The sequence below is a fragment of the Homo sapiens genome, chromosome 9 (assembly GCF_000001405.40).
Source record: "Homo sapiens chromosome 9, GRCh38.p14 Primary Assembly".
NCBI lineage: Eukaryota > Metazoa > Chordata > Mammalia > Primates > Hominidae > Homo > Homo sapiens.
In genome coordinates this window covers 19,267,710-19,294,822 of record NC_000009.12, presented here as the reverse complement: position 1 = coordinate 19,294,822, position 27,113 = coordinate 19,267,710, and the positions used below count along the sequence as shown (strand labels likewise).

Below are 27,113 nucleotides of genomic sequence, written 5' to 3'. Positions count from 1 at the left end.
TCCTATAAGAGGAATCATACAAAATTTATGCTTTTGTGTCTGGCTTATTTCACTTAGAATAATGTTTTTAAGATTCACCTATATTGTAGCAAATATCTGAATTTCATTCCTTGTTAAGGAAGAAATCATAATTCCATCATATATATATACCATATTTTGTGTATCCATTCATACGTTGATGCACGTTTGGGTTGTTTCCACCTTCCGCCTATCGTGAATAACCCTGCTACAAACATTGGCGTACAAGTATCTGTTTGAGTCTCTGCTTTCAATTATTTTAGGTATATGCCTAGGCATGAAACTGCTCGATCATATGGTAATTCTAAGTTTAACTTTTGGAGGAGCTGCCAAACTGTTTTCCACAGCAGCAGCATTTGACTTTCTCATCAGCAATGTTGACAGGTTCAATTCCTCCACACCCTTTCCTTGTATGACACAAGATAAAGCTGACACTCCTCTGTCTTCAAACTCTTTATTCCTTTGCTGTCTTTGACAGTACAAATTTCTCTGCTTTCTGGCTACTTCTCTCTTTCCTATACTAGATCCAATTATGTCACCCATCATTTAAATACTAGCATTCCCTAAGGTTCTAACTTCACACTTCTATTTGGAACATTTCATTCTCTCATGGTTTTAACTATAATCATTATACTAACAAAACACAAATCTTTATCTCTAGGTCTACCTGACCTCTCCCCTGAACCTCAGACTCCTATTTTCAAAATGACTACTCACTAATCTCCACCTGGATGTCATACAGGCATCTCAAACCAATATTTTCAAAAGTGAGCTCATCATCTAAACACTTCATCCAATATTCCTAATCTTACTCAGTCATGCTACACAATTCCCAAGGTAGAAACTTCGAAGTCATGTTCAATTCCACTTCCACTTACCACATATCAAAGCAACTACTGAAGCCCTAACTGGTCTCAAGTCAGAAGAGAAAGTATTTTAGTGAAAAATACACTGAAGAAACAGTCCTTCAGAGGTAATATCTCATCCTTCAAAAGTTCCCCATTACAGGTAAAATGCCACAGTCCGTGTAAGTGGCATGATGCTCTCAATTCCTCACAGTACCTGCTGTTGCTTTTCAACAATACAGAGCTACCAGGCATATAGACTAGTTCATAATTTTGTGCTTTTATGTATTTTGTTTAGCCTTGGTACTTCCTCTGATCTGCCCATTCCTTAAAACACTGCAAAGAAATTCTATCACTATACCCATCCCCTTCTCCCAGCAATCAATCCTTACCTCTGTGTTTTATAAATCTTGCCAACTGTTTAGTCATTATATATATCACAGGAACCCTTGCCTTTACACACACATTCCCAGATACAATTATTTCAAAGTGATCTCAAAGTTTTTAACCCATCCCCTTCTCCCAACAATCAATCCTTACTTCTGTATTTTATAAATCTTGCCAACTGTTTTTTCATTATAACCCTTGCCTTTATACACACAATATTCCCAGATATAATTATTTCAAAGTGATCTCAAAGTTTTTAACAAGCAATGACAAATACCTAAATTTTACACACCTCAATGCTTACATGTTGATATCCCCTAAACAATGAAAAAGCCAAGCAGATCACCTAGTACCCACATCTCAAATGAGACTTTATTGTTCTCTACTGCCAAAGCATATTAGGTAACTAATGTTTGAAGATCTTAAAATTTTCAGTTATATTTACTACTTTCAGCAGGAGAAATTGTAAATGATTATTAAGCTAACAAGTTAGTAGTGGGCAATCAAGTTAATATAATATTGACCTTCACTCAGTATTTTCTATGTTCCAGGCACTATGCTGGATACTTTACATATATTATCTTTATCACAGTAGTTATAAAGGTGTAGCCTGTACCTGTAGAATGAGGTCACAGATGTATTTTGTTTCATCTGCATGAGTCAGTTCAGATTATATATTTTTTCAATAAAATCGCCTATTAAATTTCCTTAGAAAGTTTTCAATTTTTGCTGGGCGCATTGGCTGACACCTGTAATCCCAGCATTTTGGGAGGCTGAGGCAGGTGGATCACCTGAGGTCAGGAGTTCGAGACCAGCCTGGCCAACATGGTGAAACCCCATCTCAACTAAAAATACAAAAATTAGCCGGGCGTGGTGGCAGGTGCCTGTAATCCCAGCTACTCGGGGAGCCAAGGCAGGAGAATCGCTTGAACCCGGGAGGCGGAGGTTGCAGTGAGCCCAGATTGTGCCATTGCACTCCAGCCTGGGGGATAAGAGTGAGGTTTCGTCTCAAAAAAAAAAAAAAAAGAAAAGAAAGTTTTCAATTTTGAAATTTCTACTGCTATCAGCTTTTTATACTGAATATTGTTTATTTTTGCCTTCTCTTCTTTATAAATCAGTTTATGTCATTATTACTGTTATATACAATATATGTTTTACATAAGACAATAAATGTCTTTTCTCTCTAGTTGTTTTGTCTCCGGTGTTCCATGATAGCACCATGATATAATAAGAGGCGGGATAGGCCAGGCATGGTGCCTCATACCTGTATAATCCAGGACTTTGGGAGGCTGAGGCAGGTGGATCACTTTAGGTCAGGAGTTTGAGACCAGCCTGACCAACAGGGTGAAATCCTGTCTCTACTAAAAAAAAAAAATACAAAATTAGCTGGGCGTGGTGACGCACACCTGTAATCCCACTGCTTAAGAGGCTGAGGCAGGAGAATCACTTGAACCTGGTAGGTGGAGGTTGCAGTGAGCCGAGATCGCACCACTGCACTCCAGCCTGGGCAACAAGAGTGACATTCCGTCTCAAAAAAAAAAGAGGTGGGATTATTTATTTATTTACTTATTTGTTTATTTTTCTCTGCTGCAGATTCAGAGTACATCTTTAACCTGAAGACTCAATTTTTTCATCAACCTTGGAAAACTCTCAACCATTAGCTCTTAGGATGTAGCCTTGTCCTTTTCTAGTCTCTCCTTCAGTAACTCATTAAATATCTATTAGACCTTCTAGTTCTATCTGCTACATTTTAAAACTCCTTTTATGTTTTACATTTGTATGTACCACATTTAAGGTAACCTATCTTCCACTTCATTAATTATCCCTTCATGTATGTCTTATCTCTGCTATTTTTTTTTTTTTTTTTTTAGAAAGAGTATCGCTCTGTAGCCTAGGCTGGAGTGCAATGGTGCAGTCTCAGCTCATTGCAACCTCTGTCTCCCGGGTTCAAGCAATTCTCATGCCTCACCCTCCCGAGTAGCCAGGATTACAGGCGTGTACCACCAAGCCTGGCTAATTTTTTGTATTTTCAGTAGAGACGGAGTTGTGCTATGTTGCCCAGGCTGGCCTTGAACTCCTGGCCTGAAGTGATCCACCTGTCTCAGCCTCCCAAAGTGCTGGAATTGCAGGCGTGAGCCACCGCACCTGGCCTTATCTCTGCTGTTTAACCCATTCACTGAATTTTTAATTTTAAGGACCATATTTTTCATTTCTAAACACTTGATTCTTTTCCCAATCTATTCATTTTTCAAAATATCCTGTTCCTTCCTTGATATTTTGAGCCCCTCCATTAGTTCTTAGGTCATCTCAATGATATTTTAATTTATAACATCCTTTATATTGTCATTCTGTCATTTCAATGTCTTGAGGGTCTAACCCTGCTTTTTAATTGTGTCTGTCGATTCTTTCTATGGTACCTATGTCCTTGATCTGTCATAATCATCTCATCTTGACACCTGGGTTTTGAAGGTGTCTATCCAGAGAGACTTTATCTTTGCTTCTGTAGAAGTTCCAGAGGTATCAATATCCTGATAGCAATTTTCATGTTGATTTCTCACCTTGGGGATGACAGTGTAAATTTAAACCAAAATGTATCATGTCCAAATAATCCTAACATTCAAATAAAACTTGTATTAACCTTTTTATGAAATAAAAACATGGACAAAATGTGTTTAATCAATGAGACAAAAACATACCTTTTTGGCTGAAGAACCTGTCAAGACAAAAGTTGAAAAAACTGGAAGTGGATATTTGGTTTCAGGATCCCAGCACTCAATAGTAGCTCCCATAGGAAGGCAGAAAAGAGGTACATCTGATTCTGAGAGTGGAAATGACTCATAGTCCTCTTCTGGATATCTAAAAATTAAACCTTTTGAAGAATGAGACAACAATAAATTTTTTAAATAGTTACTTTTCCATAAATTGCATATGATAGGTATTAATGGAATATTTTAATGCCGAATTTCATGGCAATACTTGTGTGGTATTTTAAAATTGATTTCCCCCTTGCTATAACAGAAACTAAAATAAGTTTACCCCTGATATTTTACCCATGAATTTACAGTTCATTGTAACATTTAAAATGTATTAATATACTAGTTGAGATTCCATTCAACCAATCTTGATCACCAATCTTAATGTATTTTCTTCTACACATGCCAACACCTTGTGGAAAATGGTAAGAAACATACAGAAAAATTTACCAACTATTTCAGTTAGTCTTCTGTGAAAAATTCAGGGAAGAGACAAGTGTTATGAAATAATGCTGAGGCAACAGAAATTATCACAGCCCCTAAACTCATCTTAAGAGGGAAGCAGTGTAAAAGGCATGCAACATGAAAAGTAAATGAGACAGAAACACTGTGACTAAGTACAGAGTATGTGAGACCCAGAAAGTAGGAGCAAGTGACACTTTGAGAACCACAATGAAGACCCACAGAATAAATTAGCTACATGGCATCTGTTCATTAGCCTCTAAGGTCATCAATATATAGACCATCTCTAAGTGAAAAACTTCAAAATCAGTAGTAGAATTTTGAGCCCAAATTCAGTATCTAAAACTCTCTATTCTAAAATAAGTGTCTCATATCAAATAACTGAATACTTTGGTACAGTTTCTTTCTATAAGTTTTTTAAGTGATATCTTTTCTCCACCAAAAACAACAACAACAACAAAAAAAGGACATCACACATAATCAACATATTACAGCAGTATTAACAGTATCACTTTTTTTTTTTTTTTTTGAGACAGGATCTTGCTTTGTCACCCAGGCTGGAGTGCAGTGGTGTGATCTCGGCTCACTGCAACCTCCGCCTCCTGGGTTCAAGCGATTCTCGTGCCTCAGCCTCCCAAGTAGCTGGGACTACAGATGCGTGCCACCACGCCTGGCTAATTTTTGTATTTTTAGTAGAGACGGGGTTTCACCATGTTGGCCAGGCTGGTCTCAAACTCCTGGCCTCAAGCGATCTGCCCGCCTCACTCTCCCAAAGTGCTGGAATTACAGGCGTGAGCCACCATGCCCAGCCTACAGTATCAGATTTTAAAATGATACTGAATTTTATACGTTAGTCGTTGCCATTATTTTTATATTATAAATTAAATGGTTTGGTTCATTAGTATGAATGTTTTTATGAAAATCACGATTTTTTGGATATGAATTTGCCTGACTTCCCTGAAGTAAAACTTTATTTCAAGAACTGTGCATAATCAAATAGTAATTAGCACTGCTTCTTTTCACAAAGAAGTATTCCAGTATCTTTTCTATTTACAACTGGAGCATACCTGTATTTTCAGTTTTTATCCCACCATACCAGTGGAATGAAGACGTGACACTTAAATCTTTACAGCCCTTGACACTTTAATGTGCAGTAAGAATGTGGCGATAGATTTCTCAAACACTTCATGGCAGAAAAGTTTCTCAGGCCCTCCTCTCCTCCATATAGCTGATTCTTTGCAACAAAGGAGAAAGGAAGCAAGTCCACCTTTCATGGCAAGTAACATGTGGTTTCAAATCAGACACAAAGAGATAAGAGAAGGAAATATAAGAAGTAAAGACGCAGTTTGACACCTTTCTGATTGCCAAAATATAAAAGGTCAGAGAGTCAGCAACTTTCCATTATACTGTTAAGTCTATTAACGTAGACCAAAAGCTTGAATGTTTATTCCACATATGTTTGCTTTAGATAAATGTTTAAATTAAATTAACAGCATGTTTGGTGGGGGTATTAATATATCTTGTATATGTATTTAAGAAAACACATATCTTTATATGCTAAAATTATAGATAATTTTATGAATAGATCAATTCTACAAACTATGTAAGGGAGCATACTTTATCTCTTTTAGCCAAATGTTAATATGCACCAATAACTATAGCAATTGAGACAATTTTTTTTAACTCACTTACCAGCCTTATATGCTATTGCATTTGAAGCAGGTACAGACTTCTTATAACACAGAAACACGCTGGAACCCCACTGTAAAACATGAATTAGGTTTATAAAAAAGACAAAAGAGTGAAAAGAAATTGATTTTGTTGGATACCAACTAAAGATTCATTTATTTACTCAGAAGAGTCTATTTAAAACGTTTATATAATGAACTATGCAGTATAAAATACAGCAAAGCATGAAGTTCAGAACACTAAAATAAGAGAGTAAGAAAACAATGCTACAAAAATCAAACTGATATGAAGGCCATTTCAAAAGATTTAGAATTTCACAATCACTCAGAGATTGCCCCTTCTTGTAAGACACAGCACAAAACGGAGTGTGCACTGGAGCCCAAATTGGGGAAGACTTGGGTCACTGGAGGACTATGAGGTCATCACCTCCAGAGGCAACCCTGTCTTCACTAATTGTTCTGGGTGCATTTGTCATCTCCGCCTATACAACATTAAGCTAATATTAGTTTGACCTGAAGATATTTTTCAAAGTAAATCTGAACCAAAAGTAAGCTGTAGTCTTTAAAAACTATGAATCAAACATTTATGTTCATTTTCTTCTTCACTACAGTCCTTTTAAAGAGTAAGTATGCATGGATTGGGTGTGGTGGCTTGCGCCTGTAATCCCAGCACTTTGGGAAGCTGAGGCAGGTGGATCACAAGGTCAAGAGATCAAGACCATCCTGGCCAACCAACATGGTGAAACCTCATCTCTACTAAACATACAAAATTAGGTGGGCGTAGTGGCGCACGCCCGTAGCCCCAGCTACCTGGGAGGCTGAGACAGGAGAATCGCTTGAACCTGGGAGGTGGAGGTTGCAGTGAGCCAAGATCACGCCACTGCACTCCAGCCTGGGCGACAGAGCGAGACTCCGTCTGAAAAAAAAAAATAAGTATGCAAAACTGCAATATTTTCTCTTGAGCCCTAGAGTTCAGGAGCATCCTGGGCAACTTAAGGAGACCCTGTCTCAAAAACAAAAACAGGCCGGGCATGGTGGCTCACGCCTGTAATTCCAACACTTTGGGAGGCCAAGGGAGGTGGATCACTTAAGGTCAAGAGTTCAAGACCAGCCTGGCCAACATGATGAAACCCTGTCTCTACTATCCTGTAGTCCCAGCTACTCGGGAGGCTAAGGTGGGAAGATCACTTGAGCCTGGTGGGGGGTCAAGGCTGCAGTGAGCTGTGATTGCACCACTGTACTCCAGCCTGGGCGACAAAGCAAGACCCTGTCTCAAAAAAATAAAAAAAGCAAACAAATGAATGAATGAATGAATAAATGAATGTAAGGAGAGCTTCTACCCACTCTAACCCCACAGTTGTCCCTGAAGACACCACTGAAATCCAAAAGTGAATAAAACCTTTGTTAATGTAACACAGACAATATTAGGATTTACTCCCTCAAAAATATCCCTGACTTAAAGATGAAATTATTATAAATCATGGGATAGGACTTTAAAAATTATTACAAATCATAAAAATTAGGAAAAATAAAAACAAGCATCATGAAAATATAAAATGTGAGTATATACCCAACAGTAAACAGGAATCCAAAACGTATCCCTTTTTGGTTTCATATGAAACTTTGAAGATGAAAACTTTATTCTTACCATTCCACAATTTAAGTTTTTGTCAACTTTGCAGAAGGTATGAGGAGGAGTTTCTCCTTTACTGGTTACAATAACACAGATATCAGTTACAGCCAAGGAATTCTGGGGTCGAACTGGAGGAGCCCTTCGATAAGTGATAAAGATTCTTTGTGAAGTAGTTGAACTATTGTTGACATTGGCACAGCGACCATAGGGTGTGGCTAGGATCACTTCACATCCTGGAATAAGCCGTTCTTTCCCTTCATATAGAACTCTGCATGGCAGGAAGGGGAAGAAATAGATATAGATATATACATACACACATACATATGTACATATATATAGTACATGCATTTCAGGTTAATGCTGGTTTTCTTCTTGAAATCAAAGAAAATTTTTTTGGTCTCTCCTATTGTTTCCCAAATCTTCACTAGAAACCAAAATTAAAATTATTCCTTTGGGAACTACAAGTCTCTAAACTATTTTTCAAAAGCCAAAACATAATTTAAGAAGTGTAAACAGGATTGAACAACTTGATTTTGTATTGCTTATTATAAGAAACATATGAAAAAAGAAAGGGGCAACACCACAAACATCTTCAGGTCAATTCCTAGAAGTTTCACCAAGTATTCAGATGTTTTCATAAAAATTCGCTTCATAATTTGTCAATTTTTTAGCTTTAAAAATCCTCTGAAAACTATAAAACGTTATTTAAAGAAATTAAAGAGCTGAATAAATAAGACATCTCATGCTTATGGACAAAAAGACAATGATGGCAATACCCTCAAATAGATTAATGAAAATTGAATTAATCTGATTAATTCAATCTTCAATTTGATTAATGAAAACTGAAAAATGAATTAATGAAAATTGATAAGATGGCAATACCCCCAAATAGATTAATAAAGTCAATGCAATTCCTATCTAAATTCCAGCTGCCTTTGGCAATACCCTCAAATAGATCAATAAATTCAATGCAATTCCTATTTAAACCCCAGCTGCTTTTGTTTTTTCTTGTCAAAGCAATCTGGAAAAAGAAGAAAGTTGGAGGACTCACACTTCCCTACTTCAAAACTACCACACATCTACAGTAATCAGTGCAATGTATTGGCATAAGAATAAACATATAGATCAACAGAATAAAATGGAGTGTCCAAAATTAAGCCCTTATATTTGCAGTCAATTGATTTCAACAAGAGTGCCAAGACAATGCAATCAGGAAGGAATAGTCTTTTCAATATGTAGTGTTGGAATAACTGGATATCCACCTGCAAAAGCATGAAGCTGGACCCCTTCCTTATACTACTCATCAAAAAACTAAAAATGGATCAAAATCAATGTAAGAACTATAGCACTCTTTGAAAAACAGAAATAAATCTTTGTGACCTTAGGTTAGACAAAGCCTTCTTAGATATGACACCAAAAGCACAAGCAGCTAAACATGTTAAGTGAAAAAAAAAAAAAAAGTCACAAAGACCACATACAGTGATTCAGTTTTTAAGAAATGTCCAGAATAGGCAAATCCATACAGACAGAAAGTAGATTAATAGTTACCTAGGGGTAGAAGGTGGGAAAGAATACTAAATAGCAACTGCTAATGGGTATGGGGTTTCTTTTTAGGCTGATGAAAATGTTCTAAAATTAATTGTGGTGGTAGCTGCACAACACTGTAAACAATACTAAAAACCATTGAATTGTACACTTTAAGTAAGTGAACTGTATGACATGTGAATTGTATCTCCATAAAGCTGTTAAAACCCAACTAATATTAAAATGTACTATAAAGCCTCTTTATTTAAATCAGGAGAGTATTAGCAAGGAAGTGAACAGAAAGACAATGAAACAGAAGAAAAATCTAGTCTATCATGAAGGTAATTTCTCAATATACTAAGGGAAGAATGGATTTTTAAATGTAATAAGCAGGACTTAGATAACTGGATTGTTATTTGGAAAAAAATATTATTTGGAAAAAAATAAAATTCTGTCTATACTTCACACTACACACCAGAAGGGGATCCCCCGGTGGATCACAGATCTAAACATAAGGAATTAAATCATACTAGTGCTAAAAGTATATCTAGCAGTGGGAAAAGACTATGACTCAAAATCCAGTACCAATAAAATATGGGAGTAGAAAAATAAACTACATAAAATAAACGTTACATGACAACGAACACCATAAGCCAAGATAAAAGACAAGTTGACTGAAGAAAATACTTGGCAACTTATTTCACAAAAAGCTCATCTTCCTAACACATAAAAAATTTCCTTTAAAAAAATCAAGGTAAAGATTAAAAATCTGTTTATAGTATAAGCAAAAGAATAAAGAAAATCGCCCCTTAAACTTATGGAGCAATGATTAACCTCAATGAAATTACTCTGATACACCATTAATCTCTGTGAGATTGACAAAAAATATGTCAGACCACATACTTTGTTGATGGGATGTGGATTAAAAAAACACATATATGGCAGAATATAAAATGGCACAAACACTATAGAGAAAAATTTAGTAACATTTAACAAAATTATTTACACATTTATCTTTTAATCCAGCAATTTTTTCTAGGATCTACCTGAAAACACACCTCCACAAATACATAACAATAAATGCACAGTTATTCATCAAAGCATTCTTTTAATAGCACAAAACTGAGAACAATCCAAATGTCCATCAGTAGAGGTTTCATTGAATAAAGTAAATACATCCACACAAATAAGTATTATACAGTCACACACAAAAAATGAGGAAGATCTTATATTCAGATACAGAGTGATTGCCAGTATATACTCTTAGGTGAAAAAGGCAAAGTACAAAATAGGGTATAGAGTATCTACATTTTGTTTAAGAGAAAGAAATAGGCTAGGCACACTGGCTCCCACTTCCTTTCAATTAGCTTAGCAAACAAATGAAAAAAAATGTCAATTTGTAGGTGACAAGTATATTGTTCATTATTCTACAGTCTATCATCTAGGAGAAAAGGATACTTGTGTATTATAATAGTTTATCAACTTTTCACATGTTTGAAATTTCTCAAAAAACAAAAGAACTGGAGAAACAAATCAGTTGAAAGCCAATGAATCTGACAAAGGGAAGAAAATAAGAACTTCGTATGGTCTATGATTCTGTGTCTCAAGAAATGCATCTGGGCGGGCGCAGTGGCTCACGCCTATAATCCCAGCACTTTGGGAGACAGAAGTGGGCGGATCACCTGAGGTTGGGAGTTCGCAACCAGCCTGACCAACATGGAAAAACACCGTCTCTACTAAAAATAAAAAATTAGCCTGGCATGGTGGCAGGTGCCTGTAGTCCCAGCTACTGGCGGGGGTGGGGGTGAGGGGGCGCGGAGTTGCAGTGAGCCAAGATCGGGTCATTGCACTCTGGCCTGAGCAACAAGAACGAAACTCTGTCTCAAAAAAAAAAAAAAAAAAGAAAGAAAAAAGAAATGCATCTGATATATAAGATAACATACTGCCCTGTTTAAATTATACTATACAATCATGCACCACATAATGATGATGCAAGCACAGACTGCATATACTATGGTGGTGCCATAGATTATAATGGAGCTGAGAAATTCTTATCACCTAGTATTTACAATACTATACCTTTTATCATTACTTTAGAGTATATTCCTACTTACAAAAAAAGTTAACTGTAAAACAGTCTCAGGCAGGTCCTTCAGGAGGTATTCCAGAAGGCATTCTTATCATAGAAGACAGCTCTATGTGGGTTACTGCCCTGAAGACCTTCCAGTGGGACAAGATGTGGCGATGGAAGGCAGAGATAGTGATGATCCTGACTCTGTAGGGCTAGGCTAACATGTGTCTTTTTGTCTTAAATTTTAACAAAATAGTTTAAACAGTTAAAAAAAAAAATCCAGGCACAGTAGTTCATATCTATAATCCCAGCACTTTAAGGGGCCAATGCAGAATTGCTTGAGGCCAGGAGTTCAAGAACAGCCTGGGCAACATAGGAGGACCTCATCTTTGCAAAAAATTTCAAAATAAGAAAATAAAAACTGGTCAGAGGCGGTGGCTCACGCCTGTAATTCCAGCACTTTGGGAGGTCAAGATGGGTGGATCACTTGAGGTCAGGAGTTCAAAACCAGCCTGGCCAATATGGTGAAACCCTGTCTCTACTGAAAATAAAAAAAAATTAGCCAGGTGTGGTGGCAGATGCCTGTAATCGCAGCTACTCCAGAGGCTGAGGCAGGAGAATCACCTGAACCCAGGAAGCAGAGATTGTAGTGAGCCCCAATCATACCACTGCACTCCAGCCTGGAAGACAGAGTGAGACTCTGTCTCAAAAAAAAAAAAAAAAAAAGAGAGAAGAAAAAAAGAAAAAGAAAAACAAAAAATAAAGTTTAAAAACCAAGCTAGTGCCAGCTATTCAGCAGGCTGAGGCTGGATCACTTGAGCCTAGGAGTGCAATGCCAGCCTGGGCAACAAGGCAAGACCCCATTATTTTTTTTTTTTTTTTAATTTTTGCCAGGCGTGGTGGCACATGCCTGTAATCCCAGCACTTTGGGAGGCCAAGGCAAGCAGATCACTTGAGCTCAGGTGTTCCAGAGCAGCCTGGGCAACAAGGCGAAACCCCATCTCTACAAAAAGAAAATTAGCCAGGAGTGGTGGCATACACTTGTAGTTCAGCTACTCAGGAAGCTGAGGTGAAAGGATTATCGCCTGAGCCCAGGAGGTGGAGGCTGCAGTGAGCCTAGACTATACCACTACACTCCAGCCTGGGCAACAAAGTGAGACCCTGTCTCAAAAAATAAAAAATAAAAGAATAAATTTTTAAAATAAAATTTTAAAATACAAAAAAACTTAATAAAATAAGGATTTAAAGAAAGAAAAATATTTTTGTACAGCTGTATGGTAAGTGTTTTAAACTAAGTATTATTACAAAAGAATCAAAAAAATTAACAAAAACTTTAAAAGTTTATAAAGTAAAAAGGCTATAATAAAGCTAAAGTTAATTTACTAAAGTCTATAGTAGTATACAGTAATGTCCTAGGCCTTCATATTCACTCAACACTCACTCACTGACTCACCTAGAGCAACTTCCAGTCCTGCAAGGTCCATTCATGGTAAGTGCCCTATACAGGTGTGACTTATTTTTTATGCCAGATTTTTCTGTACCTTTTCTATGTTTAGATATACATATACTCACCACTGTGTAAGTTGCCTACAGTATCTATTACCCCAGTAACATGCTGTACAGGTTTGCAGCCTAAGAAAAATAGGCTATAGTTGTATATGTAGTAAGCTATGCCACCTAGGTTTGTGTATGTACACTCTATGATGTTCACACAATGACAAAATCGCCATAGAACACATTTCTCAGAATGTATTCCCATCGTTAAGTGATACATGATTGTACTTTATAGTATATACGGTATTTCTATGGGAATATCAGATTTTACATATTTTAACTTAACATCTTTTCTAGAGAAAAGTACTATTTTTATAAATACCTCATCTCAGTTTATAAAACAGTAAAAAAGACAAAAGTTTAGCAACAGTGTTTCATATTAAACTTAATGAGATGGGTGTCTGTATTTCCAGTAGCTAATAGGCTTTCCTACTATAAATACAGAAGCTAATAGGTTTTCCAAACCCCTTCACACTAGAGTGAGGAAAGAGTGGGGGGAAAGTGAGGAGAACAGGCCAAAACATTTAAGTCACCAGACATTAACAATTATTTGATCTGGAGAGAAATATTAACCATCATGATTAGCTTAAGGACAACCATACACTCTAGCAAATCTGTATCAATAAACTACCATAACAAAAATTAGAAGCCTTAGGAACTGCAAGATGTGTATGAAAAAGCCACTTGCAATCTGAAAGCACCTACATATAATTACGTAAGTCATCATTTTATTTTTAAGTTGTATCACAAGCAACAACAATTTTGCAGAGATTCACATCTTTCAGTCATGACTGTATGGGAGGGGTGGCAGGTGGGCTTGTCAAAAGATGGACTCTAAAAGACGACTGGCCCGGCACAGTGGCTCACTCCTGTAATCCCAGCACTTCGGGAGGCCGAGGTGAGCAGATTGCTTGAGTCCAGGAGCTCAAGACTAGCCTGGGCAACATGAGAAACCCCACCTCTACAAAAACTACAAAAACTTAGCCGGGTATGGTGGTGCTTGCCTGTAGTCCCAGCTACTCGGGAGGCTGAGGTGGGAGGACCACCTGAGCCCAGAAGGCGGAGGCTGCAGTAAGCTGTGATCACACCATTGCACTGCAGCCTGAGCAACCACAGTGAGACACTGTCTCAAAAAAATTCTCCTTATTTTTATATATTAAAAAAAACAATTTTTTTAATTAAAAAAAAAAGATGCCTAAAAGAGGGAACAGTGAATGCTGGAACACAAAATAAGTACCTGGCTGGTTTCCCTTCAACTAACATGGAGGTTACCACAATTTTATCCTACATCCTTAGGGATATATATTACCTATCTTCTTAAGGAAACCATAGAGAAAAAAAAACAGAACAATAAAACCATTAATGTCACTCCACTGCAACCAATACTCTGTGTTTACACCCATTTTAACTTACTTTCTTCTTCTCAAAGGAAAAGCCCCTTCCGGCGGGGCACAGGGGCTCATGCCTGTAACCTCAACACTTTGGGAGGCAGAGGCAGGTGGATCACGAGGTCAGGAGTTCAAGACCAGCCTGGCCAACATGGTGAAACCCCGTCTCTACTAAAAATACAAAAGTTAGCTGGGCGTGGTGGTGGGTGCCTGTAATCCCAGCTACTTGGGAGGCTGAGGCAGAGAATTGCTTGAACCCGAGGTGGAGGTTGCAGTGAGCCGAGATCGCACCACTGCACTCCAGCCTGGACAGAGCGAGACTCTGTCCAAAAAAAAAGGAAGGGAGGAAGGGAGGAAGGCAGGCAGGTAGGCAGGAAGGCAGGAAGGCAAGCAGGCAGGCCGGCCCCTTCAAATAAAAGCTAATCCAGTCACCTATGCTGTTAACATCATCCCTTCAATAATTTTATTCTATAAAATATCTTTTTCCTATATTTCCTACCCTTCCTTCTCCACTGATTTCTTCCTTCAATATGAAAATGTTCTAGGTTATTCCCTGAGAGGAAGGTTAAAAAACAACCCTTGAATTCATATATCTTCACCCTCTAGGTATTTTAAACCATTGTTTCTGGGAATTTTGTTAAAAATAGATTTTTTTTTCTTCTGAGGCAGGGTCTTTTGCTCTGTTGCCCACGCTGGAGTGCTACAGTGGCACAATCGGAGCCACTCCTGGGCTCCAGTGATCCTCCCACCTCAGCCTTCTGAGTAGCTAGGACTACATGTGCATGCCACCACACCTTGCTAATTTTTTTTTTTTTTTTGTCTTGAGAAGGAGTTTCACTCTGTTGCCCAGACTGGAGCCCAGTGGCACAATCTTGGCTCACTGCAACCTCCACCTCCTGGGTTCAAGTGATTCTCCTGCCTCAGCCTCCCAAGTAGCAGGAACTACAGGTGCTCGCCACCATGCCCAACTAATTTTTGTATTTTTTTAGTAAAGAGGGGGTTTCACCATGTTGGACAGGCTGGTCTTGAACTCCTGACCACAAGTGATCGGCTTGCCTCCGCCTCCCAAAGTGCTGGGATTACAGGCGTGAACCACCACACCGGGCCCTTGCTCATTTTTATTTTTATTTTTTGTGAACTCCTGGCCTCAAGCAATCCTCCTCCCACCTCAGCCTCCCAAAGCGTTGGGATTAGGGAGGCTGGAGTGCAGTGGTGTGATCTTGGTTCACTGCAACCTCCGCCTCCCGGGTTCAAGTGATTCTCCTGCCTCAGCCTCCTGAGTAGCTGGGACTACAGGCGCACACTGCCACACCCAGCTAATTTTTGTATTTTTAGTAGAGATGGGGTTTCATCATGTTGGCCAGGATGGTCTTGATCCCTTGACCTTGTGATCCGCTTGCCTCGGCCTCCCAAAGTGCTGGGATTACAGGTTAGCTGGGATTACAGTGTAAGCCACCACACTGGACCAGAATACAGATTGTGATTCAGTAGGTCTGGAATAGTGCCTAAGTTTCTGAGTTTCTAACAAGCTTCCAGGTCTTTTGGACAATACTGGTCCATGGGCTACAATTTGAATAGTTAGGCCCTTAACTATCTTCCCCTTCCCTTAAAGTCAAGCTTCTGGGGGGGCAGAGTGGAGGGGGCCTTTATTAATCCAATTCCCAGTCATTTCTGAACCCTGTCTTTCTAACCTGGCTCATATGCTCAATGACCCTATAAAGCTGAAAGATCACCATCCTAACTATACTGACTTGAAGGAAAACTACAGTAGCTAAATAGGATGGACAATACTAAAGGAGTTAAACGAATGCTGCATAAAGGTCAAGTAAGATAAAGACAAATCATCCTTTGGTTTTAAAAATTTGAAAATGAGGACTTTTTAAACTTTTTTCTCTTTTTCAGCCTGAGTTGTTACACACTCCTTCGTGGATTCCGACTTCCATGGAGTATGAGGATCTTTATAACAATTTCGCCAGAGCTCTAATGCAACAAGAGTGGGTGATGAGCGTAACAAGTGGTGGTCAAATGGCTACCCCTTAATACCTGAACAACTATAAAGAGAACAATCAGTGGCCAGGTGTGGTAACTCACGCTTGTAACCCCAGCACTTTGGGAGGCAGATCCCCTAAGGTCAGGAGTTCAAGACCAGCTTTGCCAATATGGTGAAACCCTGTCTCTGCTACTAAAAATACAAAAATTAGCCAGGCATAGTGGTGCACGCCTGTAATCCTAGCTACTCAAGAGGCTGAGGCAGGAGAATCACTTGAACCCGGGAGGCGGAGGTTGCAGTGAGCCAAGATTGCGCCACTGCACTCCAGCCTGGGCAACGAAGCCAGACTCTGTCTCAAAAACAAACAAACAAAAAACAACCACAACAACAAAAAGAGAACAACCAGCAACCAAGTGTTCAAAAAAAAAAAAAAAAGAAAAAAAAGGCTTCATGAATTAGAAAAATTTGGATATGTGATAATATTAAGGAATTAATCATTTTTTAAGGTATGGTATCATAGTTATATTAAAAGAAAGATTCAACAAAAGAAAATCAATGTAATACATGACACTAAGAGAACAAAGGAAGAAAAAATACATGATCATCTCAATTGACAAAAGGCATCTGACAAAATTTAACACACTTTCCTGATAAAATCTCTCAGAAAACTAGGAATAGAAGAACATTTCCTCAACATGATAAATGGTATTTAAGGAATATTTACAGTTAACATCATACTCAATAGTAAAAGACTGAAAGCTTTCCACCTAAAATCAGGAATGAGACAAGATGCCTGCTTTCACCACTGCTATTCAACATACTAAAAGTTCTAGCCAGAGTAATTACACACACACACACACACACAAAGCATCCAAACTGCAAAGGAAGGAGTAAAACTATTTCTATTTGCAGATGACATGATCCTATATATTTAAAAAAATCCCGAAGAACCCACAAGTTATTAGAACTAATAAATTCGGCAAAGTTGCAGAGTGCAAGATTAGCACACAAAAATCAGCTATTTCTATACACCAGCAACAAACAATCCAAAAATTAAGAAAACAACACTATTTATAATAGAATCCAAAAGAATAAAATACCTAGAAATAAAATTAATCAGATTTAAAAAATACACAATGTTGCTGAAAGAAATTAAAGAAGACCTAAACCAATGGAAAACATTCCACGTTCACAAGCTGAATCGTTTAATATTGTAAAGATGACAATACTCTGCAGATTAATCTAAAGTTAATGTAATCTCTATCAAAATTCCTACTACACATTTTGTATAAATAGATAAGCTGATCCTAAAATACTTGCCAGGATGTTCCCAAATATCTATATTTTAGTAATGGTAATGATAATAAACAAAACACCCCAATACATCACATGTATATATGGTAAAGTGTTATAGGTATTCTAAAAGCACATCCTTTTTACAGAAGAGTCAAGGTAGCCATTTGGGGAAAGGGTGGACCTTTGTAGGCATTTACAAAAAAGAATGTCCTTCACTGGTAGACTAGATACTAGATACTTCATGAAAACTGTAGCACTTATCTGTAAACACCCTCCTCCCAGCATTGAAAGCCACACGTTACAACTGTATTTAAAATAGGACTGCTCTTTAGTTAAACAAGTACAGGTCTTCACAAAAACTCATTACATAACCCAAGCAACTCCTTAAAATGATAGTGTCTTTATTATAGCTTCTCATTCTATTGTGTTTAATTAATAATCTTATTTGATAAGTACAACAGAAACAAAATGACACTTTAGGGTCAAATGTCTTCATTTCAATATTCTTTTGAAAGCAAATGATCTAACAATTCAAGGCAATGCAAAGAAATTCAGTAAGGGTGGATACTGGCATGTAATATATTACTATAATGAATCCTGAAGTAACCATAAAACTATCAATAATAATAAACTATCAGTAATAATAAAACTATCAAGGATTTCAAATTCCTACTTCCATGGCCCTTAAATAAATTTTACTCCTTCACTATAGCAAAGAAAAGAAGTCACCATACCCAATATCTGTAAGCGGTGGTTTATCTCTCCCTCTCTTATAACAGAGGAAAAGTTCTGGGCTTTTCAGACTTCCATAGTTCAAGTTTGCTTGGAGAGCTGATGGAGTGGCTTCTACACAGGTGTAACCTTCAGGTACTGTTTCTCCAGCTGATTTGATAATAATGGCAATGTCTGTAATTGGAGCTTTAGGTCCAGTTGACTTAGTATCTAAACGATTTATTTCTTGATCCAAAAGAGTAGATGTGTCAGTGAGACCAGCTACGACAAAGTAGTCTGTCACTCTTGGTCCTTTGTCTTCTATCATGGCTGCTACTGTATTTTCTAGAAGAGGGAGGGGAAAGATACCAATAAAATAAAATACTTTATCCTGACAAAAATTAATATATCCTTGAGTTAACAATCATCAACTAGCACACTTCCCAGCTAGATTTATAATCAAATTGCCATTCTGAGAAGAAGCCTGCTTTTATCATCTTGTCAGTTGGTAAAAGCAAAAGTACAAGTTAACAGCATCAATTCATCTGTAATACAACTATAATCTTCTCATATTCTATTAAGGATAATTAAACTGGGGCCGGGCGCGATGGCTCATGCCTGTAATCCTAGCACTTTGGGGGGCCAAGGCAAGTGGATCACCTGAGGTCTTAAGTTCGCGACCAGTGTGCCCAACCTGGTGAAACCCTGTCTCTACTAAAAATATAAATATTAGGCTGGGCATGGTGGCTCACACCTGTAATCTTAGCACTATGGGAGGTGGAGGTGGGTGGATCACCTGAGGTCAGGAGCTCGAGAACAGCCTAGCCACCACGGCAAAACCCCATCTCTACAAAAATACAAAAATTTAGCTGAGCCTGGTGGGGGGCGCCTATAATCCCAGCTACCCGGGAGGCTGAGGCAGGAGAATCGCTTGAACCCAGGGGGCAGAAGCTGCAGTGAGCGGAGATTGCTCCACTTCACCTCAGCCTGGGTGAAAGAGAGAAACTCCATCTCAAAAAATAAATAAAAATGAAAATAAACATTAGCCAGGCGTGGTGGTGTGCGCCTGTCAGTCCCAGCTACTCGGGAGGCTGGGGCATGAGAATCGCTCGACCCCGGAAGGCGGAGGTTTCAGTGAGCCCAAATTGCGCCACTGCACTCCAGCCTGGAAGACAGAGTGAGACTCTGTCTCAAAAAAAAAAAAGAGAAAGAAAAAAAAAAAAAAGGCCGGGCCTGGTGGCTCACACCTGTAATCCCTGCACTTTGGGAGGCCGAGGCGGGTGGATCACTTGAGGTCAGGAATTTGACACCAGCCTGGCTAACATGGTGAAACCCTGTCTCTACTAAAAATACAAAAATTAGCCAGGTGTGGTGGTGGGCACCTGTAATCCCAGCTACTCGGGAGGCTGAGGCAGGAGAATCGCTTGAACCTGGGGGGCAGAGGTTTGCAGTGAGCCAGGATCGTGCCACTGCACTCCAGCCTGGACAACAGAGCAAGACTCCATCTCAAAAAAATAATAATACTAAACTGTCAGAGGTGGACTACGGTATTTTCCTTTGAGCAAAATGTACTTAATGAACAATATTCAGATCATTCAAAATATCATTCTCTTTTAAGTTACAGGAGTCTTAGAGCTAAACTCCACATTTAAATAAATTGAGTGCATCATCAGTCAAGATCCAAGATCAGAAAAATTAAGGTAACAGTAATAAATATCATTAAAGCAGTTTCTCAACAATCCAGTTAGAACTCTTGTGCTTTATAAGAATTAAACTTTCCATAAATACCATGTAAAATAAGTAAGCTCAGGAATCATTAAATCTTTTATATCTAAAAATACCAGATAGAGCATAAGAAACAACAACCAATAAAACCATTACCACAATCAAGATAGTGAAACATATCCAGGCCGGGCACGGTGGCTCACGCCTGTAATCCCAGCACTTTGGAAGGCCGAGGAGGGTGCAACACCTGAGGTTGGGAGTTTGAGACCAGCCTGATCAACATGGAGAAATCCCATCTCTACTAAATATACAAAATTAGCTGGGTGCGGTGGCGCATGCCTGTAATCCCAGCTACTCAGGAGTCTGAGGCAGGAGAATCGCTTGAACCCGGTAGGCGGAGGTTGCGGTGAGCCGAGATCGCACCATTGCACTCCAGCCTGGGCAACAAGAGCAAAATTCCATCTCAAAAAAAAAAAGAAAGAAACATATCCATCAACATCAAAATTTTCTTGTTCCTCCCTCATTATTTCTCCTCCTCAGGCAACAAGTTATCAGCTTCCTATCATTATAGATAAGTTTCTAGAATTTATATAATAAGTAGACTCATACAGTATGTATTCTTTTTTCTCTGGCTTCTTTACTCATCATAATTATTTTGTGATAAATCCATGTTGTTGCTTGTATCAACAGTTCATTCCCTTTTATTACTGAGTGGTATTCTACTGAATGAATATACCACAATGTTTATCCATTCACCTATATTAATGGACATTTAGGTTATTTCCCGTGTGAAACTATCACAGATAAAGCTGCTGTGAATACCCATGTACAAATCTTATGGACATAATGCTTTCATTTGTCTTGGGTAAATTCCTAAAACAGGATGGCTGGATTAGGTGTATATAGTTCTAAAAAACTACCTAATAGTTTTCTAAAGGGAGTGTACCATTTTTTTCACTCTTGTCAGCTTTGAGAGTTCCAATTGTTCTACATCCTCTTCAACACGTTGTAAGATCAGTCTTTTTAATTTAGACATTCTAATCAGTATGTACTGATATCAACTTCTGGTTTTAATTTGCAATTACTATTGATGCTGAACATCTTTTCATTGATTTATTTTCCATCCATATATCTTCTTTGGGGAAATTTCTGTTCAAATCTTTTGTCCATTTTTTTTAACTGAGTTGTTTTCTCATGAGTTTTGAGTTCTTTATGTATTCTTGAGACAAGTCATCTATCAGACATATGCTTTGCAAATATTTTCTCCCAGTCTGCGGCTTGTGTTTTTATTCTCTTACAGGGTCTTATGAAAAACAGAGGTTTTTGATGAACTCCAATTTATTAACCTATTCTCTTACAGATCATGCTTGCGATGTCGTAAGAAATCATGTCAGCCAAGCGTGGTGGCTTACACCTATAATTCCTGCACTTTGGGAGGCCAAGGTGGGTGGATCACCTGAGGTCAGGAGTTCCAGACCAGCCTGGCCAACATGGTGAAACCCCATCTCTACTAAAAAATACAAAAATTGCCAGGCGCAGTGGCTCACGCCTGTAATACCAGCACTTTGGGAGGCCGAGGCAGGTGGATCACGAGGTCAGGAGATTGAGACCATCTGGCTAACCTAGTGAAACTCTGTCTCTACTAAAAATACAACAAAATTAGCCTGGCATGGTGGCGGCGGGTGCCTGTAGTCCCAGCTACTTTGGAGGCTGAGGCAGGAGAATGGCGTGAACCCGGGAGGTGGAGCTTGCAGTGAGCCAAGATCGCGCCACTGCACTCCAGCCTGGGTGACAGAGCGAGACTCCATCTCAAAAAAAAAAAAAAAAAAAAAGGATACAAAAATTAGCCAGGCGTAGTGGCATGTGCCTGAAATCCCAGCTACTCAGGAGGCTGAGACAGGAGAATCACTTGAACCCGGGAGGCAGAGGCTGCAGTGAGCCAAGATCACGCCACTGTGCTCCAACCTGGGCGAGAGAGCAAGACTCCATCTCAAAAAACAAAATAAAAATAAAAATAAAAAAACATGTCTAATCCAATGTCATAAAGAAAACATTTCCCCCACATTTTCTTCTAAATGTTTTATAATTTTAGGTTTTACATTTAGGTCTACGATACATTTTAAACTGATTTTTGCATATGGCGTGAGGTATAAATGAAGATTCATTTTTTTACATATGGATATCCCATTTTTCAAGGACCCTGCGTTGAAAAAACTATTCTGGCCAGGCACATTGGCTCATGTCTCTAATCCCAGCACTTTGGGAGGCCGAGGTGGGAGGGAGGATTGCTTAAGTCCAGTAGTTCAAGACCAGCCTGGGAAACATTTTTTTGTTTTTTGTTTTTGTTTTTGTTTTTTGAGATGGAGTTTCGTTCTTGTTGCCCAGGCGGGAGTGCAATGGCGCAATCTCGGCTCACTGCAACCTCTGCCTCCCAGGTTCAAGTGATTCTCCTGCCTCAGCCTCCTGAGTAGCTGGGATTACAGGCATGTCCCACCACGCCTGGCTAATTTTGTATTTTTTGTAGAGACCAGGCTTTCCCCATGTTGGCCAGGCTGGTCTCAAACTCTCGACCTCAGGTGATCCGCCCACCTTGGCCTCCCAAAGTGCTGGGATTATAGGCATGAGCCACCATGCCTGGGCCAGTCTCTCTTTTATTTAAAAAGAAAAAAAAAATACTATCCTTTCTCCACTGTAATGATTTCATACCTTTGTTCAAAAGTCAATTGCTCAACATGTGCATCCAATTTATTTCTGGATTCTTTATTCTGTTCCATTGATCTATGTGTCTATATGCCAGTACTACATGGTTCTGATTACTGTAGCTTTATAATTAGTCCTGAAATCAGGCAGCCTTAGCTTTGAAAGCTGTTGTTTCTCTGTTTTCTTTTCTCTTTTTTTTTTTTTTTTTGAGACAGAGTTTCACTCTTTTTGCCCAGGCTGGAGTGCAATGGCGCGATCTCAACTCAACGCAACCTTCGTTCGCCTCCCAGGTTCAAGCGATTCTCCTGCCTCAGCCTCCCGAGTAGCTGGGATTACAGGCATGCACCACCACTCCAGCTAATTTTGTATTTTTAGTAGAGACGGGGTTTCTCCATGTTGGTCAGGCTGGTCTTTAACTCAACCACCTCAGGTGATCCGCCCGCCTCAGCCTCCCAAAGTGCTGGGATTACAGGCGTGAGCCACCTCACTGGGCCTCACTGCTGTTCTTTTTCAAAACTGTTTTTTGACTATACTAGGTCCTTTGCATTTCAATAAGCAATTTAGAATCCACTTACTGGCCAGAGGCGGTAGCTCACACCTGTAATTCCAGCAATCTGGAAGGCCAGAGGTAGGCGGATCACTTGAGGCCAGGAGTTCAAGAACAGCCTGGCCAACATAGACAAACCCAGTCTTTACTAAAAATACAAAACATTAGTGGGGCATGGTGGAATACATCTGTAATCCCAGCTACTCGGGACGCTGAGGCATGAGAATCACTTGAATTAGTGAGGCAGAGATTGCAGTGAGCCAGGATTGCGCCACTGCATTCCAACCTGGGTGGCAGAGCAAGACTGTCTCAAAAAAAAAAAAAAAAAAGAATCCATATTAATTTTTACCTAAAAAAAAAGCCTACTGTGATTTTAATTAGGACTGCATTAAATAATTAGGGTTATTGAGTCTTCTAATCCATGAACAAGGTTAATCTCTGCATTTACTTAGATCTTTTAAATTTTTTTCAGCGATGTTTCTGAGTTTGCAACATACAGGTCTTCCACATCTTTGGTCAGATTTATTCCTAAGTACTTAATAATTTAGATGCTACTGTGAATGGCATCATTTTATTTTTAATTCAATTATTCATTGCTACTATATAGAAATACAATTGATTTTTACATATTGATCTCATATAATGCAATCCTGCTAAAATCACTTATTAGTTTAGAGCAATTTTGTAGATTCTATCAGACTTTCCACATAATGTATGTGTGAATAAAGACAATTTTTACTTCTTTCTTTCCATTGTAGCTGCCTTTTTTTTCTTTTTCTTGCCTTATTGCACTGGCTAGAACATCCGGTACACTGTTAAGATAAATGGTAACCAAAGATACCCAAATGACCAATAGACAAATATGTTCATCACTGGTCACAGAAGCACTATTCACAATAGCCAAAAGGTGAAAACAACCCAAGTAACCATCAAGAGATGAATGGATTTTTAAAAATGTGATATAAACCTACAATGGAGTATTATTCACCCTTCAAAAAGAATGTAATGCCAACCTATGTTACAAAATAGAAAAACCCTGCTTTGTCTTGCAACTTGGGTATGAGCTCATCCACAGTAAAATAAAGCACCAAGTAGATTCCTAAAGTTCCCAACTCCAGAGGCTAGAGGCCCTAGCTTCTGGACAGCATTTCTAGACCCATCCTAGGCCAAAAGGGAACCCTCCACCCTGAAGGGAAAAACACAAGCCTGGCTAGATTCACAACCCGCTGAATAAAGAGCCCTTGGGCCTTGAATAAACATCAGTGGTAGCCAGGCAATATTACTGTACTGATGAGACTCAGTACTGTGCTGGTTTCAGGTCTAACCCAGCACAGTCCCAGTGGTGGTGGTTGCAGGGGTGCTTGTGTCACTCCTCCCCTCAACTCCAGGTAGCTCAGCATGGAGAGCGATGCCATTTGTTTGGGGGAAAATAAGGAAAGAGAACAAGAGACTGTGCCTGGTAATCCAGGGAATACTGGCTATTACCCAAGACCACTAAGGCCATACAGCTATAAGTCTACAAGAGTCACAGCATTACTGGGCTTAAGGTGCTCCCTAATGTAGATACGGCTATAGAGACCAAGGACTTAGATCAAAACAATCAATTACCTTTGAATACTTGGAAAGCTTTTTCTAGAAGGATGGGTACAAACAAGCCCAGACTGTGAAGACTACCATAAATACCTAACTCTTCAATGCCCAGACATCAACAAACATCCACAAGCATCAAGACCATACAGGAAAACATGACCTCACCAAACAAACTAAATGAGGCACCAGTGACCAATCCTGGAATGACAGACATGTGTGACCTTTCAGACAGACAAAGTCAAAATAGCTGTTTTAAAGAAGCTCAATGAAATTCAAGATAATACAGAGAAGGAATTCAGAATCCTATCAGATGAATTTTAAAAAGAGATTGAAATAATTGTTTAAAATCCAGCAGAAATTCTGGAGCTGAAAAATTCAACTGATAAACAAGAATGAATCAGAGTCTTTCAACAGCAGAATTGATTTAGCAGAATAAAGAAATCATGAGCTTGAAGACACACTATTTGAAAACACAGTCAAGGGGCCGGACACGGTGGCTCAGGCCTGTAATCCCAGCATTTTGGGAGGCCGAGACGGGCAGATCACCCGAGGTCAGGAGTTCGAGACCAGCCTGGCCAACGTGGTGAAACCCTGTCTCTACTAAAAATACAAATTAGCCGGGCATGGTAGCGGGCACCTGTAATTCCAGCTACTCGGGAGGCGAGGCAGGGGAATTGCTTGAACCCGGAAGCAGAGGTTGCAGTGAGCTAAGATCACGCCATTGCACTCCAGCCTCAGCAACAAAAGCGAAACTCCATCTCAAAACAAAAAAGAAAGAAAGAAAGGAAATACAGTCAGAGGAGACAAAATAGTAAAGAATAAAAAAGAATGAAGCACACCTACAAAATCTAGAAAATAGCCTCAAAAGGGAAAATCTAAGAGTTATGGGCCTTAACAAAAAGGTAGAGAGAAGTATGTACCAAGTTTATTCAAAGAGATATACTACAGAGAACTTCCCAAACATAGAGAAAGATATCAATATTCAAGTACAAGAAGGTTATGGAACAGCAAGGAAATTTAACTCAAAACTACCTCCAGACATTTAATTGTCAAACTCCCAAAGGTCAAGAATGAAGAAAGGATTCTAAAAGCAGCAAAAGAAAAACACATAGCATACAAAGGAGCTCTAATGTGTCTGGCAGCACACTTCTCAGTAGAAACTTTACAGGCTAGGAGAGAGTGTATGACATATTTAAAGTACTGAAAAAAAAACAAAACTTTTATCCTGTATTTTCAGTATATCCACTGAAAATATCCTTCAAACATGAAGGAGAAATAAAGACTTTCCCAAACAAACAAAAGCTGAGGGATTTCGTCAACACCAGACCTGTCCTACAGGAAATACTAAAGGGAGTTCTTCAATCTGAAAGAAAAGAACAGTAATGAGCAATGAGAAATTACCTGAAGATACAAAACTCCCTGGTAATAGCAAATACATAGACAAACATATAGAGAATATTAACACCGTAATTCTGGTGTGTAAACTACTCATATCTCAAACAGAAAGAATAAAAGATGAACCTATCAAAAATAATAACTACAACCAGGTGCGGTGGCTCACGCCTGTATTCCCAGAACTCTGGGAGGTGGGGGTAGGCAGATGGCTTGAGCTCAGGCGTTCAATACCAGCCTGGACAACATGGCAAAACCCCGTCTCTACAAAAAATACAAAAATTCGCCAGGTATAGTGGTGCACACCTGGGGTCCCAGCTACTCAGGAGGCTGAGGTGCAGGGATGGCTTAAGCCGGAGAGGTCGAGGCTACAGTGAGCTGAGATTATGCCACTGCACTCCAGCATGGGCGACAGAATAAGACTCTGTACGGGAAAAAAAAAAAATACCCAAAAACCTACAACACATACACAAAACATAAAAGGCAAGACATTAAAACATACCACCAGAAAATAATCACTTTCCCATAAAGGAAGATGGGAAGGAAGGAAGGAAAAGAAGACCAGAAAACAAATAACAAAATGGTAGTAGAAAGTCCTTATCAATAATGACATTGAATGTAAACAGACTAAATTCTCCAATCAAAAGACATACAGAGGCTGAACGGATTTAAACAAGCACAGTCCGACCATCTGCGGCCTACAAGAAACAGGCTGGGCACAGTGGTTCATGCCTACAATCTCAGCACTTTAGGAGGCTGATGCAGGAGGATTGCTAGACCCCAGGAATTTGAGACTAGCCTGGGCAAGATGGTGAGACCCTGTCTCCATAAAAAATAAA

The 27,113-nt window shown here is 39.0% G+C and overlaps 1 protein-coding gene across 39 annotated transcripts in view; it reads right to left on the bottom strand.

Moving 5' to 3' along the window:
• Positions 1–27,113, bottom strand: part of DENND4C (DENN domain containing 4C) — a 143,769-nt gene that overhangs the window by 79,459 nt on the left and 37,197 nt on the right. For 29 of the 39 annotated variants that reach the window (NR_169842.1, NR_169845.1, NR_169843.1 and 26 more), the window contains exons 2-5: positions 18,344–18,665; positions 7,802–8,054; positions 6,158–6,227; positions 3,947–4,119 (exon numbers count right to left, since the gene is read on the bottom strand). Coding sequence is in view for 21 of the 39 variants with exons in the window: in NM_001386047.1 (NP_001372976.1) it covers positions 3,947–4,119; positions 6,158–6,227; positions 7,802–8,054; positions 18,344–18,648 (801 nt within the window). In the remaining 18 variants the exon portion in view is untranslated. Of the gene's footprint in view, positions 1–3,946; positions 4,120–5,532; positions 5,733–6,157; positions 6,228–7,801; positions 8,055–18,343; positions 18,666–27,113 lie in introns of all 39 variants that reach the window. The other 10 variants (NR_169852.1, NR_169854.1, NR_169850.1 and 7 more) reach the window with 5 other exon arrangements.